The sequence below is a fragment of the Homo sapiens genome, chromosome 1 (genome assembly GCF_000001405.40).
Source record: "Homo sapiens chromosome 1, GRCh38.p14 Primary Assembly".
NCBI classification, from domain to species: Eukaryota; Metazoa; Chordata; class Mammalia; order Primates; family Hominidae; genus Homo; species Homo sapiens.
In genome coordinates this window covers 248,012,261-248,028,674 of record NC_000001.11, presented here as the reverse complement: position 1 = coordinate 248,028,674, position 16,414 = coordinate 248,012,261, and the positions used below count along the sequence as shown (strand labels likewise).

At 36.4% G+C, this 16,414-nt stretch overlaps 2 protein-coding genes across 3 annotated transcripts in view; both read right to left on the bottom strand.

Annotated features, from left to right (window-relative positions):
* The window catches only part of OR2L13 (olfactory receptor family 2 subfamily L member 13), a 163,987-nt gene that overhangs the window by 72,489 nt on the left and 75,084 nt on the right, over nucleotides 1-16,414 (bottom strand). The window lies entirely within an intron of this gene.
* Nucleotides 4,399-15,015, bottom strand: OR2L5 (olfactory receptor family 2 subfamily L member 5). Its single transcript, NM_001258284.2, has 2 exons — nucleotides 14,937-15,015; nucleotides 4,399-6,748 (listed from the first exon to the last, which is right to left on the bottom strand). The coding sequence occupies exon 2, from the start codon at nucleotides 6,725-6,727 to the stop codon at nucleotides 5,789-5,791; it is 939 nt and encodes a 312-aa protein (NP_001245213.1). The 5' UTR covers nucleotides 6,728-6,748; nucleotides 14,937-15,015; the 3' UTR covers nucleotides 4,399-5,788.

The following is a 16,414-nucleotide window of genomic DNA, read 5'->3' as shown; positions in this document are numbered from 1 at the left end:
AATTGACTATTTCACACTTCTGCAGTAGAAACGATGAAACTAAGCAGATCGTAGGCCACAACTTGTTTTATTCTGAAAGAAGAGATTAGAATAAGAAATATAAATAAAACTGAGCTGCTTATTTTACATTTTTCCATGTCTGTATTCAGTCCATTTGAATTATTCATTAAGTCAAACAGATTTTTAAATGCATAATCATATTCACTTATAAAGAAGCTCCATTCTATTTCCCAAAGAGACAAAATTCAGGTGATAACCATTTATGTCAAATCTTTTGTTAAAGAGCAAGGGATGTTGGCACAGGCCTGTAATTCCACCTACTGGGAGACTGAGGCAGGTGGATTGTTACAGGGCCACAGGGTTCCATTGCCCATGGAGTGGTAGCAGACCAAAACACCAAAACAGCAGGAATTGCAGCAGAGAAAGGGTTTGTTAATCATAGGTCAGCTGAAGGAGGAAGAGACAGGAAGCCTCAAATCAGCCTTCTGGAGAGACTTGGACATGATTTTTTTTTTTTTTTTTTTTTTTTTTTTTGAGACGGAATCTCGCTCTGTCGCTCAGGCTAGAGTGCAGTGGCGTGATCTCGGCTCACTGCAAGCTCAGCCTCCTGGGTTCATGCCATTCTCCTGCCTCAGCCTCCTGAGTAGCTGAGACTAAAGGCACCCACAACCACGCCCAGCTAATTTTTTTGTATTTTTAGTAGAGACGGGGTTTCACTGTGTTAGCCAGGATGGTCTTGATCTCCTGACCTCGTGATCCACCCACCTCAGCCTCCCAAAGTGCTGGGATCACAGGTGTGGACATGTTTTTAGGGAGTCTGCATGGGTGATGGGCTAAAGTGTGGGGATTGCTGATTGGTCGAGGCGTGAGTGGTGAAGTCATGAGACAGGGAGATGAAGATGCTGCATCCTGCACTGAGTCAGTTTCTCAGACAAGTTAACTTTGAGTAATCACCATTCTACTCTCTGTTTCTTTGTATTCTGTTTATTTTTAGGCCCAATATATCAGGGGAAATTCAGCCCCCAATATTTCACATGGGTCCTTTTCTATTTTCCCTAAGTGTCCGCTGGTCTGAGAAATAAAGGGACAGAGGACAAAGAGAGAAATTTTAAAGCTGGGTGTCCGGGGGAGACATCACATGTTGGCAGGTTCCGTGGTGCCCCCGAACTGTAAAACCAGCAAGTTTTTATTAGCGATTTTCAAAAGGGGAGGAAGTGTACAAATAGGGTGTGGGTCACAGAGATCACATGCTTCACAAGGTAATAAAATATCACAAGGCAAATGGAGGCAGGGCGAGATCACGGGACCACAGGACTGGGGCGAAATTAAAATTGCTAATGAAGTTTTGGGCACACATTGTCATTGATAACATCTTCTCAGGAGACAGGGTTTGAGAGCAGACAACCGGTCTGAACAAAATTTATTAGGCAGGAATTTCCTTGTCCTAATAAGCCTGGGAGCACTACAGGAGACTGGGGCTTATTTCGTCCCTTATCTATGACTGTAAAAGACAGCCATCCCCAAAGTGGCCATTTTAGAGGCCGCCCCCTAGGAACTCATTCTCTTTCTCAGGGCTGTTCCTTGCTGAGAAAAAGAATTCAGCGATATTTCTCCTATTTGCTTTTGAAAGAAGAGAAATATGGCTCTGTTCCACCCAGCTCACAGGCAGCCAGAGTTTAAGGTTATCTCCCTTGTTCCCTGAACATTGCTGTTATCCTGTTCTTTTTTCAAGGTGCCCAGATTTCATATTGTTCAAACACACATGCACTACAAACAATTTGTGCAGTTAATGCAATCATCACAGGGTCCTGAGGTGACATACATCCTCCTCAGTTTATGAAGATGATGGGATTAAGAGATTAAAGTAAAGACAGGCATAGGAAATCACAAGCGTATTGATTGGGGAAGTGATAAGTGTCCATGAAATCTTCACCGTTTATGTTCAGAGATTACAGTAAAGACAGGGGTAAGAAATTATAAAAGTATTAATTTGGGGAACAAATAAATGTCCATGAAATCTTCACAATTTATGTTCTTCTGCCATGGCTTCAGCCGGTCCCTCCATTCGGGGTCCTGACTTCCCGCAACACCAATATATAAGTGAGATCATGCAGTATTTTTCTTTTTGTGTCTGAAAGCCAGTCTGGATTGAAGGACAGAAAGAAATGGGACTTTCACTGGAAGGCTACAATCATAGCAACATAATCATTTCCAGTTTTTCCCAGCTTGAGAGAACCAACGTGAACCATACTTGGGATTCTCTCCAGGAAAGTTCCATGTAAAAACATCTGCAACATGCAGGACCTTTGAATGACCTTCTAAGAGGAGGAGAGGTTGGTCTTGCTGTCTCAGGAGTGGTGAAGGCAGAAGGAAATCCACACATAAGTGGACTGCACAGTTCAAGTCCGCGTTGTTCAAGGGTCAACTGCAGATCAGGCATTCATCACTGTTGTAGTTTGAATAATCCAGGGCTTTTCTTTTTAAAACAATGCTAGATTTGTGGAGGTAAACATATTTATATTCTACTTTTTACATAGACACACTTATATTTGCCAAATGATTTTTCTTTTTTTATTATTATACTTTAAGTTATAGGGTACATGTGCACAATGTGCAGATTAGTTACATATGTATACATGTGCTATGCTGGTGTGCTGCACTCATTAACTCCTCATTTAGCATTAGGTATATCTCCTATGCTATCCTTCCCCCCTCCCCCCACCTCACAACAGTCCCCAGAGTGTGATGTTCCCCTTCCTATGTCCATGTGTTCTCATTGTTCAATTCCCACCTATGAGTAAGAATATGCGGTGTTTGGTTTTTTGTTCTTGCGATAGTTTACTGAGAATAATGATTTCCAATTTCACCCATGTCCCTACAAAGGACATGAACTCATCCTTTTTTATGGCTGCATAGTATTCCATGGTGTATATGTGCCACATTTTCTTAATCCAGTCTATCATTGTTGGACATTTGGGTTGGTTCCAAGTCTTTGCTATTGTGAATAGTGCCGCGATAAACATACATGTGCATGTGTCTTTATAGCAGCATGATTTATAGTCATTTGGGTATATACCCAGTAATGGGATGGCTGGGTCAAATGGTATTTCTAGTTCTAGATCCCTGAGGAATCGCCACACTGACTTCCACAAGGGTTGAACTAGTTTACAGTCCCACCAACAGTGTAAAAGTGTTCCTATTTCTCCACATCCTCTCCAGCACTTGTTGTTTTCTGACTTTTTAATGATTGCCATTCTAACTGGTGTGAGATGGTATCTCATTGTGGTTTTGATTTGCATTTCTCTGATGGCCAGTGATGGTGAGCATTTTTTCATGTGTTTTTTGGCTGCATAAATGTCTTCTTTTGAGAAGTGTCTGTTCATGTCCTTCACCCACTTTTTGATGGGGTTGTTTGTTTTTTTCTTGTAAATTTGTTTGAGTTCATTGTAGATTCTGGATATTAGCCCTTTGTCAGATGAGTAGGTTGCGAAAATTTTCTCCCATTTTGTAGGTTGCCTGTTCACTCTGATGGTAGTTTCTTTTGCTGTGCAGAAGCTCTTTAGTTTAATTGGATCCCATTTGTCAATTTTGTCTTTTGTTGCCATTGCTTTTGGTGTTTTAGACATGAAGTCCTTGCCCATGCCTATGTCCTGAATGGTAATGAAAATGGCCATACTGCAAAAGGTAATTTATAGATTCAATGCCAACCCCATCAAGCTACCAATGACTTTCTTCACAGAATTGGAAAAAACTACCTTAAAGTTCATATGGAACCAAAAAAGAGCCCGCATCGCCAAGTCAATCCTAAGCCAAAAGAACAAAGCTGGGGGCATCACACTACCTGACTTCAAACTATACTACAAGGCTATAGTAACCAAAACAGCGTGGTACTGGTATCAAAACAGAGATATAGATCAATGGAACAGAGCAGAGCCCTCAGAAATAACACCACATATCTACAACTATCTGATCTTTGACAAACCTGAGAAAAACAAGCAATGGGGAAAGGATTCCCTATTTAATCAATGGTGCTGGGAAAACTGGCTAGCCATATGTAGAAAGCTGAAACTGGATCCCTTCCTTACACCTTATACAAAAATTAATTCAAGATGGATTAAAGACTTAAACGTTAGACCTAAAACCATAAAAACCCTAGAAGAAAACCTAGGCCAAATGATTTTTAATGGATACACAGTGTATTTTAATAAAAATGCATTTTATACAAGTAAAGACAAAATGTAGTTTTATATTATTTACAATGAAAAGATAAGTTCAATGTTGTAAATATTGAATGCATATTTCCTTGAATTTTACAGTCATTTTACTCTATCATCTTTTTTATTTTACATTGCTATAATAGCATTTTAAACACATAATATTAAAACCTACAGTGTTTTTTCAAATCAGATATAAAATTTTCTACATTGGGATTTTAATGGCTATCATTACAAATTCTTGGGCAAGGGGAGGGAGAGCATTAGGACAAATACCTAAAGCATATGGGGCTTAAAACTTAGATGACGGGTTTATTGGTGCAGCAAACCACAACGGCACATGTATACCTGTGTAACAAACCTGCACGTTCTGCTCACATATGCCAGAACCCCCATAAAAAATAAACAAAATAAACAAATAAAATTAATAACAAATAAAAATAAAAATATATTTTCTGATCACATGATGTTATTCTTCAGATAAATAGTTTTTATGCACTTTAATTATATTTCCAGAGTGAAGATTATTCTATTTGAGAGCAACAGAAAGAACTTTAGAAAAATAGTTATAGAAAAATGTTACATTATGGAAAGTTGTATAATGCAGGGCTTTTCTCTTACTTGTTCATTCTACCTTCCTTCTTGCCTCCTCTCCTCAGAGACTAAAGCGTTTCTCAGGAATGGGCTCTTGTGGAGAGCCATGGCCTTTCACTCAGAGAATGGACCTAAGCTGACAACTTTTATAAAAATAATGTTGATCCTTCTAGGCACAGGCCTAAGCAGGTATAAAAATAGTGGAGCAGAGGAGTTGATCCCAATCCAAGATGTATAGACTTGCTGATTTTGAAGAGTAAGTAGAAAAAAATTGTTCAGAAGAGAACGTCTTGCATGAGAATACCCGTGGCTACTCAGGAGACAAACATTGTGTGTGTTGTGATGTGACTGGGGAATGGTTCAAATAACCTACTCCACATTCAACTAAGTCTAAGTCAACTGTAGTCTAAGAGGTTCTATAGAAGGTAAATTCCATAGAATCTTTTATAAAGAAATTGTTGTTTTACTAAAGGCAAATTGGCTTCACCCCAGACATACTTATTTATCCTGAGGTAAATTTATTAATAAATCATTACTTTAGCAAAAAGAGGAACACATACACACCAGTTGAGAGTAAATAAAATATTATTTAATATTCAATTAGATTCAGTAATCTTAAATAATTTGTTATTTTGTCTTATTTTAATAATAATGGGAAACAATTAACATATAACTATTATGCTGAATGATATGATTCCTTTGGACATTTATTGTTTTGATTTATACATGATAATGAAATTCTATGGCCTTACAATTTAGTGTAAAATATATGATCTGTCTTTTGATAAAAAGAAACACAAACAGAAACAAAATAGATGTCTTAGAATATGCAACTATAATGTCAAGACTAAATTAAAAGACAAACATTCTGGATTAATCTCTGTTTGACATACTGGGCATGTAATAATGTTTTTCTTCACTGCTGTACACTGCTGAGTTGATATGAACCTAGCGCTTTGACTCTAACACAGAACGTATGTCTACATTTTCACCGAGAAGATATTCTGAATCACTCGTGTCAGGGCCCCCATCACCTCCTTGTTTCTCAGGCTGTAGATGATGGGGTTGAGCATTGGGGTGAGGATGGTGTAGAAAACAGCCAGAACCTTGTCCTCTGTCAGAGATCGCAGGGATCTTGGACATAGATAGGTATAAGCAAAGGGTGCATAGTAGAAAGTTACTACAGTGAGGTGGGTGCTGCAGGTCGAATAGGCCTTTTTCCTCCCTTCTGCAGAGTGCATGCGGTAGACAGCAAGGAGAACCCAGCCATAGGAACACGCAATGCCAGTGAAGGGAAACACAAGAAAGATGGTGCTGCTCAAAAACACTGTGTACTCATAGACCCAGGTGTCTGTACAGGCTAATGTCAACATAGCTGGAACATCACAGAAAAAATGATTGATGGCTCTGGACTTGCAATATGGGATACGGAATGCATATACTGTGTGAGCACAAGAGTTGATGGAGCCTATCATCCAAGATCCTGTTATCATCAGCACATACATTCTTTTGCTCATACGGATGGGATAGTGGAGAGGAAAGCAAATGGCCACATAACGATCATAGGCCATTGATGTCAGGAGCAGCGCTTCTGCACCTGCAAAAGTCATGAAGAAGAAACTCTGAATCCCACACCCAATGAAGGAGATAGACTTGTTTCCATACAGAAAATCAGAAGCCATCTTAGGAACAATCGTAGAGATGTAATTTAGGTCAATGAGGGAGAGCTGACTAAGCAGGAAATACATGGGTGTGTGGAGATGGGTGTCCAAGAAGATGAGAAGAATCATGGATAGGTTTCCAATTAGAGCCATTAGGAAAATGAGAACAAAGAGAATGAAGAGGAAAAGGCCAATTTTTGATGGTGGGAACAGCCCCAATAAGATGAAATCAGTTGACGTTTGATTGTAATTTTCCATGGGGCATTCATACGATCCTTCCTGAAGGGAGACACAAGGGTAAGTCAAGTACAGTAGTTCCCCATTATCTGCAGGGGTTGCATTCCAAGGCCTCCAGTGAATGCCTGAAATTGCAGTTGACACTGAACCCTATATACACTATTTTTTATATCCATCAATATGTATTATAAATTTTAATTTATAAATTAGACAAGGAAGAAATTAACAAAAATAGCTGCAAATAAAATAGAACAATTATAACTATATACTCTAATAAAAGTTATGCAAATGCAGTTTCTATCTTTTTCTTTTTCTCAAAATACCTCGTTGTACTGTACTCATTTTTCTTGTGATGACAAAATGCTTCATGGGAAGACAAAATGTCTACATGATGAAATAAAGTGAAGGGAACAATGTAGGCACTATGATGCAACATTGGGCTATGACTGAAATCCAACTGATAATTTATGAAGTGTTCATTTGTGGCATTTTCCACCCAATATTTTCAGACTGCAGTTGATCACAGGAGAAACTATGGAAAGCAAAACAGTGGATAAGAGGGGACTACTTATAGAATAGTAAGCCAATTGTTTTTAAAAATCCTTAGTTTAGTTAGACTGTGAATTATTTATACAACTTTATAACTCTTAGATGACTAATCTTTCCAAATTAGAAAAAAAATCGTATTCTCTATCCAGAGATTAATATTTGATGAGACAAATATTTATAACCAAAATTTTTTCTAAGAAATATATACATTTATAGGAAAAATCATCTGTCTTACAACTTCAAAAGGATAGGAATGTTTGATGCCCAACACAAACTCAGATGTAATCAAGATCATATGTTATGCTTAAAACAAATGCATGGAAAAGTTAAATGCATATATTATGGATCTTATTAGGAATAAATTAGCATTATGTTTTCTGGATGATTTTTTTCTACATTTATTGTGTAACACTTACTTCTAAAGCTGCAGCAGCCTGTGACTTATTTGGAGGAACTTATATTTCCTTCTTGAATTGTCTTTGCATAATAATTCCAAGTCACATATGTATACATGTGCCATGTTGGTCCCATATATACATATGTGACTTGGAATTATTATGCAAAGCATGTTGTGCACATGTACCCTAAAAGTTAAAGTATAATAAAAAATAAAATAATAATAAAATGAAATGAAATAAATGAAAGTTATATAAAAAAATAATAATTCCAAGTCAAACTTTCTCTAAGTCAGACATCATTATTTGGTTCTTCTATCTAAAAATGTAGAATGAATTATTATTTTAAGTATCCTTTTCACAAAATGTAACTCACAGTCTTGGTTTTTAATGTCTGCCACCATTAAATGTTCATTCTCTTTTGCCTCCTCATTCAGTTTCACAATTCTCCAGTTACTGTGGACCCCAGATATAGATATCTGAATATCCATATGCCAATTTCATTTTAGCTTCCATGTTTCTGCTCAAGCTCTTGCCAGCAGGATGTGTATTCTGTGTCTTTGCTTCCCTAATGCTTAGAATCTCTGCTTGGCTGCTGTTGGTGAATAGAACTGCTGATTTATGTAAATTAATTTTGTGTCATGAAACTTGGCTGAATTCCTTTTTTAGTTCTAGGAGTTTTCTGGAGGAGTCTTTAGGGTTTTCTAGGTAAACAATCATAGCATCAGCAAACAGCGACAGTTTTACTTCCTCATTACCAATTTGGATGCTCTTTATTTCTTTCTCTTGTCTGACTGCTCTGGCTAGGACTTCCAGTACTATGTGGAAGAGGAGTGGTGAGAGTGGGCATCCTTGTCTTGTTCCAGTTCCAAAAGCTATGGTAATCAAAACAGTATGGCATTGGTATAAAGCCAGACATGTATACCAATAGAAGAAAGGAGAGGTCAGGTGCGTTTGTTCACACCTGTAATCCCAGCACTCTGGGAGCCTGAGGCAGGCAGACTGCTTGAGCTCAGAACATTGAGACCAACCAAAATGGAAAAATCCTGTTTCTACAAAAAATACAAAAATTAGCCAGGGGTGGTGGCTCGCACCAGTAGTCCCAGCTACTTGGGGAGGCTGAGGTGGGAGGATTGCTTGAGCCCAGGAGGCCGAGGTTGCAGTGAGCCAAGATTGTAGCCCCACATTCCCACTTGGGTGACAGAGTGAGACCGTGTCTCAAACAAGAAGAAGAAGAAAGAAGCAGAACAAGACAAAGAAGAAGAAGAAGGAGAAGGAGAAGGAGAAGGAAGGAAGGAGGAGGAGGACGAGGAGGAAAATAGAGTCAGGAAATAGACTCTCCTATAAACAGCAATATATTTTTTGGAAACGAAACTGAGTTTACTCAGTTGGGAAGGGACGGTGTTTTCAATAAACAGTGTTTGAAAAACTGGATAACTACATTCAAAATATGAAATTGGATGCTTACTTTACACCATATAGAAAAATTAATTCAAACTAAATCAAAGACCTAAGTGTAAGAGCTAAAACCATAAAAGTATAGTCAGTGCCAAAATGAAGTTCTACAGCCTCTGTGGAAAATGATTGAGAGGCTTCTCGATTTATGATGGGTTTCATCCTGATAAACCCATTATGAGTTGAAAATATTGTAAGTAAAATATACATTTACTATCCTGAAAAAGTCATCTCAATGTTAAAATATTGTAAGTCAAACCATTGTAATTCCAGATGCTCCTTGACTTACAATAGGATTATATGTTCCTATAAATGCATATTAAAGTCAAAAAATCATCAAAATATTGTATTTCTGGACCATCTGTATAGTAATTTCTTCAAAAATTAAACAGAATTATTATATGCTCCAGCTATTTAACTTCTGAATGTGGACCCAAAGAAATAAGACCCTCAGAAAGATACTTATATGGCCACATTCACAGCAGTATTATCACAATACCCCAAAGGCAGAAACAAGTGTCCGTCCACAGAGAAATCAATAAAAAATGTAGTGAGTACATACATGGACTATTATTCATTTTAATCATGAAATAAATTGTGACACATGCTACAACATAGATGAACTTTGATTACATTATGCAAAGTGAAATAAGCCACAAAGAGGCAAATATTGTATGAATTCTCCTACATGAAGTATCCAGAGTAGTCAAATTCATAGAGACATAAAGTGGAATGCTGGACCCCAGGGGACCGGGGAAGGGAGACAAGGAGAATAATTGTGTGGAGAACACAATTTTAGTTGGAGAAAATGAAACTGTTCTGGAGATGCATGGTGGTGATGGTTGCACAACAACATAAATGTCCTTAATGCCACAGAACTGTACACTTAAAAGAGTTAAAATGGTGCAGTTTATCTTAAGTATATTTACTCTAATTAAAAACATTTAAATGTACTGAAATTATTCCATATTTGGAATTCCAAATACATTTTAAGAAAATTCCTACAAGTTTCTGAGCCTCTACAGAGCAATTATTTTATGACCTCTGGTAATTTGTGAAGGCCAGTATAGAAGAACAAATTATTTTCATATATGTCATTTGGAAACAGTATGAGATCAGCATTAAGACTGATGCAATAGTATGTAATTTGTATTAGTAATTTAATTATTAGCATGTAGAATAGGTGCTATTTGTAATTACTAACACAACATTCCAAACATTTCTATCATTTGTATTTTATATAGGGCAATCTATGATAAACTTTCCATGAGACTTATTATCCTAATTTTTAAAAAAGGAAAAGTAACATAGGACAGAATAATAGACGGCACATCAGATCTCATATTTATTGTCATGTTGCAACTGAGTACCTCATTTTTAAAAAAGAAAAATAACGAATTTTTTTTTTTATTTTTTTGAGATGGAGTCGCTCTGTCGCCTAGGCTGGAGTGCAGTGGTGTGATCTCGGCTCACTGCAAGCTCCGCCTCCCGGGTTCACGCCATTCTCCTGCCTCAGCCTCCCAAGTAGCTGGGATTACAGGGGCCCACCACCACGCCAGGCTAATTTTTTTTATATATACATATACTTTTAGTAGAGACGGGGTTTCACCGTGTTAGCCAGGATGGTCTCGATACGAATGTATTTTTTCCTTCTCCCTCACCTCCTTCTTAGCTGGTTAGGAATGCAAATATATCCTTTACTCTACCCACCAGACACATTCTACAAGGCAAGTTTGTATGACATTGTGTTTACCTAGAAGTTCTAGAGACGGAATCACGAAGCAAATCAGGCAACCCCAGAACTCCATCCCACTAGGAGACTGTCTCAATTTACAACCCAGCTCTGCCTGCGATGGTGCCAGCCAGACCACCGGGTAGAAAAGACATCAGAAGAAAATCACTGGACCCCCATCTCCTCACCCCCTGCATGTCATTCACGCCAAGACCCCATTAAAAGACCCTGCCTACTGCCCCGAAAGGGGAAGCACTTCCCAATAAGGCAGAAGCCTGTCCTGCTTCCCCTCAGCTAAGCTTGGAAGAAAAAGTCTCTTTCTACCAGACCTTGCTCTTGTTAACATGACTTTGCAAGTGGTGAGTGGCAGGAGACGTATTTTGTGACGTTACGATATCTCTTGAACACCAGTGTAGCATCTCTTTGATTATTCATGTTTCAGGGTTCTAATTCTACCATATAACATTATTTAAATAAAATTAGATCCCTGTCTTTAATGAGGAAGCAGTCTCAGCCATTATACATCTGTTTCAGTAATGTGAAGAGGACATTTTTTTCTTATGTAAAAATAAATCCAAACAGGTTACTTGTGCCCCTTAATTTTTTATCCACAGAATTAGCTGTAAATATTTTAAGCCCATTTAAAAACACTTCCACTTGCTTTTATTTTTATAACTCTTCTAAAATGTATATACCTGGGCATCAGCATTAATGATGTCATACAAAAGATGAAAAAGCAAGGAGAAAAGATTCCGATGATAGTTTCACAGCGATTAGGAAAAGCAAAACTTCAACCCGGGAGGCATCATACATGAAAGGAACGATAACATTATGAACTTTTATTGACTATCTCCACACACTGGCACTTGCAATATGTCAGGATTTCTTCCATAATTCCATTAGATTTAATCCTAATAACAAGCTCTTCACACTGACATCACCACCGACATTTTATAGATGACAAAATTGAGATTCAGGGGTTGTAAGTGAACTTCTCTACATCACACACAAACACACATATGCCTATATTTACACAAACACACACATACATACATAAGTTTATATACACACATACATATCTATGAAAACATATAAATAAATATATATGTTACATATATAAATATACATTTATATACACGTTTAAAAAAATGTGTGGTCTAGTTTATCCAAATATTTTTAGGCAGTACATCTGAAATAAGGCTGACTCACTTTTTAATTACCCACAACAAAAATAAAAGACAGAGGTTAAATTTACTGAAATACATAATCATTATAGATGCTAAATAAATGAGAAATAATAAGATTTTTATATCACGAATAAGATTATTTTAATGGCTAAAATTCAATCATTTAAACTTCTTATGTTTCCTCATGTTATCTGGTTTTATTGTACTTTCCTTGACCAGGCAACAATCATACATATTTTCAAAGAAAGAAGATTTCTCAGAAAATCTAAAAGAAATACAATTTCCACCATGTTCCCAACATAAAAGTTTATCTGTTGGAATAATTCACTTACAAAAAAAATACCCATGTAATCTCCTGTGTAAATCAAGTTGAGGATGTACATATTCAGCATAATAATTACAATTCTACAAATGGTGCCCAAGTTGCAAGTGAATTACATATTACTATCTTTTGAAGTCAGAATGTATCATTAAATTGCATAGATTTTTTCCTATCCTTCAATTTAGAGTTGAATATGAGCTAATTAAAATAGCCTAATTTAAGTAATTCACATATTCATAGAAGACAAAGATTTTTCAGTGATAGTCTCATTATCATAAGGAAGAATAGCTGAATCACAGGATTTGAAGAGCGTTATTCATGACAGTACAGAGACCTAGTGATAGAGTTGGGAACCAAGGAGGATGGTTCTCTTGTGTCTAGATACTGCAGTTTTCCCTTGGGGCACTCACTGATTTATTTTCCCTATATTTTCCTCAGTTTTGATGAAAAGTATTCTCAAAGAGAAATCATTATTCATTACAAAATATGGCTGTTCCTCTTAAAGTTGGTATGATCATTTGCATAGGCACAGAAAATGTGTGAATTTACCAAAAAAATAGGAAGGGAGATAAGGGTACAAGTTGGCTTTGCTGGAAGTTTTGTAAGAAATCAGATTGAACTTTTAAAAGCCTCCAAAATCCAAGCCACACTTTACCAGATTTTGCAAAAATCTAGGTTGCTTCCTCTCTTCTGAAGGGATAACTGAAATATCCTAAAGTTCTGAAACTCTGAAACTTCCAGAAAGTGATCTTTCTTACTAACAGATAAGGCTAGGAAATGGTAAAACAGGTGACAGGGTCAGTTTCACTGGAACAGCTGTGAAGTCATTGACTTCGTAAGTCAGCCTGAATTCCTTAAAACAAGCTGTCTGTACCTGAATCTGCATGTCTATAGTAAGAATTATTTCACATTGACAACACTTGTCTAGAATGTCAATCAGATGACACAGAAGAGTGTCCTCCGGAGTATAGGCAAGGACGGCTCTCCACAGCATCCTGGCATGGAATCCTACAGGAGATTCCTCCTTCCTTCAAGTTCCTCCACAATAGATTCTCCTAAGAAGAGACACAGTACATAATGTTGTGTTTAACTGACGTAGGAATAACTGATCTTATTTAATATTTACACAATATGTATTTTTAATTGTTGAGAAGGGTATGAATTTGGAGAACCACAACTCTTTAAGGTGTAAAGGAGTGAAGAATATAAAGTGAATATTTGCTTGTGTGTATGTGTGCTTCCAAGTCACAACCTACCATTGAGGTCCACGATAGTGCATCAGCTCTCATAGATAGATACATAGGTAAGTGGGCAGACAGACATTTTCATGGATAGACAGAAAGTGATTATGAAAGTGAGTATGAAGTATCCTTTGACTGTTATTTTGGGATGAGGATGTGCTTAGTCTGCTTCACTGTGTAAGTTCATGGGAAAGAGACTCGGTTTAATACCAAATGGAATCCTAGCTCTTACAATTACTAGAAATGTAAGCTTTTGTTGCTGAATGTCTGACCCTGTATTTTATAATTACAACAGGGGGAATAATCCATGGGTTATTAGGAGCTGTCTGTGACATAGTGACCGTGTATTACTTGACTGGGTGTATCATTGAAGAGAATCTACAAGTTTCAGCATCTTCATCATTATCATTGCTGGCATCATCAACATAATCACTATCACTTACATTTACACACTTGTTATCTGCTATGACTGTAGAGTAATATAGCCTTCACATTGTTTCCACATACTATGCTCATTTCCTTCTTACAAAACCACTGCATGGTTCTTAAAGCAGAAATAATATTTCTATTATTTCACTGGAAGTTTACCTTGTGTACCAAAAGAAAAAAATAAATATATTGCAAAATTTAAAAGCACAAAGCACTACAATTTGTCACAAATTGGGTGTAAAAACAAAATTTGGATACCCATAGCATAGCTACTAATCATATGGTTTCCTTAATTATTTATTGCCAGAAGAGGGTCCTTTATTTTAAAAACTATATCATTGCTCTACAGACTGGTAATTTTAACCACTCTCATTCTGTCTTTACTTTAATGGCCTCCTAATACTTTTAAACAACACTAGTTGTTTCTACATATTTCCTTGGAAATACTGGATTCATATGAGGTGAAATAGCAAGTAAGAAACAGCAATAAGATTATTATAAGCATCATATAATTAATTACTCACCACTTGTGGCAAAAGAAATCAAACCAAAACCAAAAAATCACCAACCAAGTACAAATGAGGAAATGCTGCCCTCTATGATAATTATTGTGAATATGGGTTTTTAAATTTCACTTGAGCCCAAAAAAGCATAGTTTAATATAATTTAGCCCTATCTCTTCCATTGATCATCATTTCCCTTCCAATCCGGGAAACACATTTATGAATTAGCGGCAAAAACACTTTTGGTTGTCTGTATTCTATACTCCAAAATTTCTGCTGAATTTTCTTAACAGAAAGTACAATTACTAGTGCTCAAACTTCAGTTCGATTTCTGAAATAAAGTTCTCTTAAGCGCTTGCCAGAGTCTCTTCTTCCCTATGATCAATAAAAATTTTAAAATACAAATATAATCAGTACCTTTTATTATCTCCTCAATTTCAAACACGCACTGCCTTTGTTGGCTGCCAGCAGTCGTATAGTCATCATATGAACAAAGTCATTTTTCTAAGCAAGATTTCTGAATGGTTTTTAAAGAAATGTATACATTCATTGATCATCCCTACACATGAGATTTCAGAGACCTTCATGCGGATTCCATAGAAACCATGATCCAGTCCTTCTTTACCTGGAGAATGAGATTAACAGTTGTTTTGCTGGTATTCACTGGGGATTGTCCACTGAGACTTTGGACATTCTAGGCTGAGTCACTAATAACAGAGGATGGCCTTAGTCCAAGGTTCAGAAATGAGTTCTCATTGTGTAATTAGATGCTTCAAGGCATGTCAAGGGGAAACTCAGTGGTGAAAGAAACAAGTATATTTATTCAGATTATGGTAATGCAATTGTGTCTCTAATACTTTATGAAATCCTACACTTTTTATGTTGTTATTCACTGCATTTATAGCAAGGATGTGTCTGTATATATTAATTTCTTTCCCAATTTAGCTTATTTTAGCAATAAATTCTAGAACATGAAAATGGAACTAGGTTAATTTAATTAAAACATGTAAGTAGAAGTTATTAAAATATCACATATTGGAGTTATCTTTAACATATTTTAAATATATATTTATATTGTTTCCTTTCTTCTAGAAATACCCATTAAATTTTAAAACAATTTTCTCTTATGAAAATAGATAATAAAACTGATCTTACTACTGACTGTGGTATAATAATATCTAGAATATATTTAGTAATTAAATTTTTATGCAAAAGAGTACCTTAAAGGTACTCAAATTTTTCATGGTTTACAGTAAATTAAATATGCCTTCTATCTTGAAAAAGTAGCATTAGTCCATTTAAAATATTTGGAATTTTATAAATGTTTAAATGTTTTTAATAATCATTTATTTAATTAATTGATACATTGTTATTGTATGTATTTATGGGTTTCAATTTCATGTTTTTATTTAAGTATATGTTACATAATGATCTAATCAGGGTAGGTAGTGTATATTACTAGCAAAAATAATTTCTTGAAAGTCAAATACAGATGTTTTGATATTCTTGCATTTCAAAATCTAAAGAATTTCTTTACCTTTAAAACCCTGCCTTTGAACATAAAAGTAGATGCCACATCTAGTGCACACTAGGCACTGGTTTTATATCTTCCTTAGAAGACAAAACACATTTGTGCTGAATGAGGAGGGAAGAATCCTTATTAGATGCAGGTAGAGGTGCTTTGAGAGGATTTCTGTATGAAAGAAAGACTTTATGGGTCATGACTCAAGACTGCCCACTGGGATCCTGTAAACACATGTGGGGGATATGAGACAGAAACTAACATGGACTTGGGCATATGAAACAAAGGAAGTCTGCCGTCTGGATCTCAGGACAGAATCATCTTCAGGGGACCACCAGGATTGTGGCAGGGTGGCCTGTGTCAGAGAAGCACT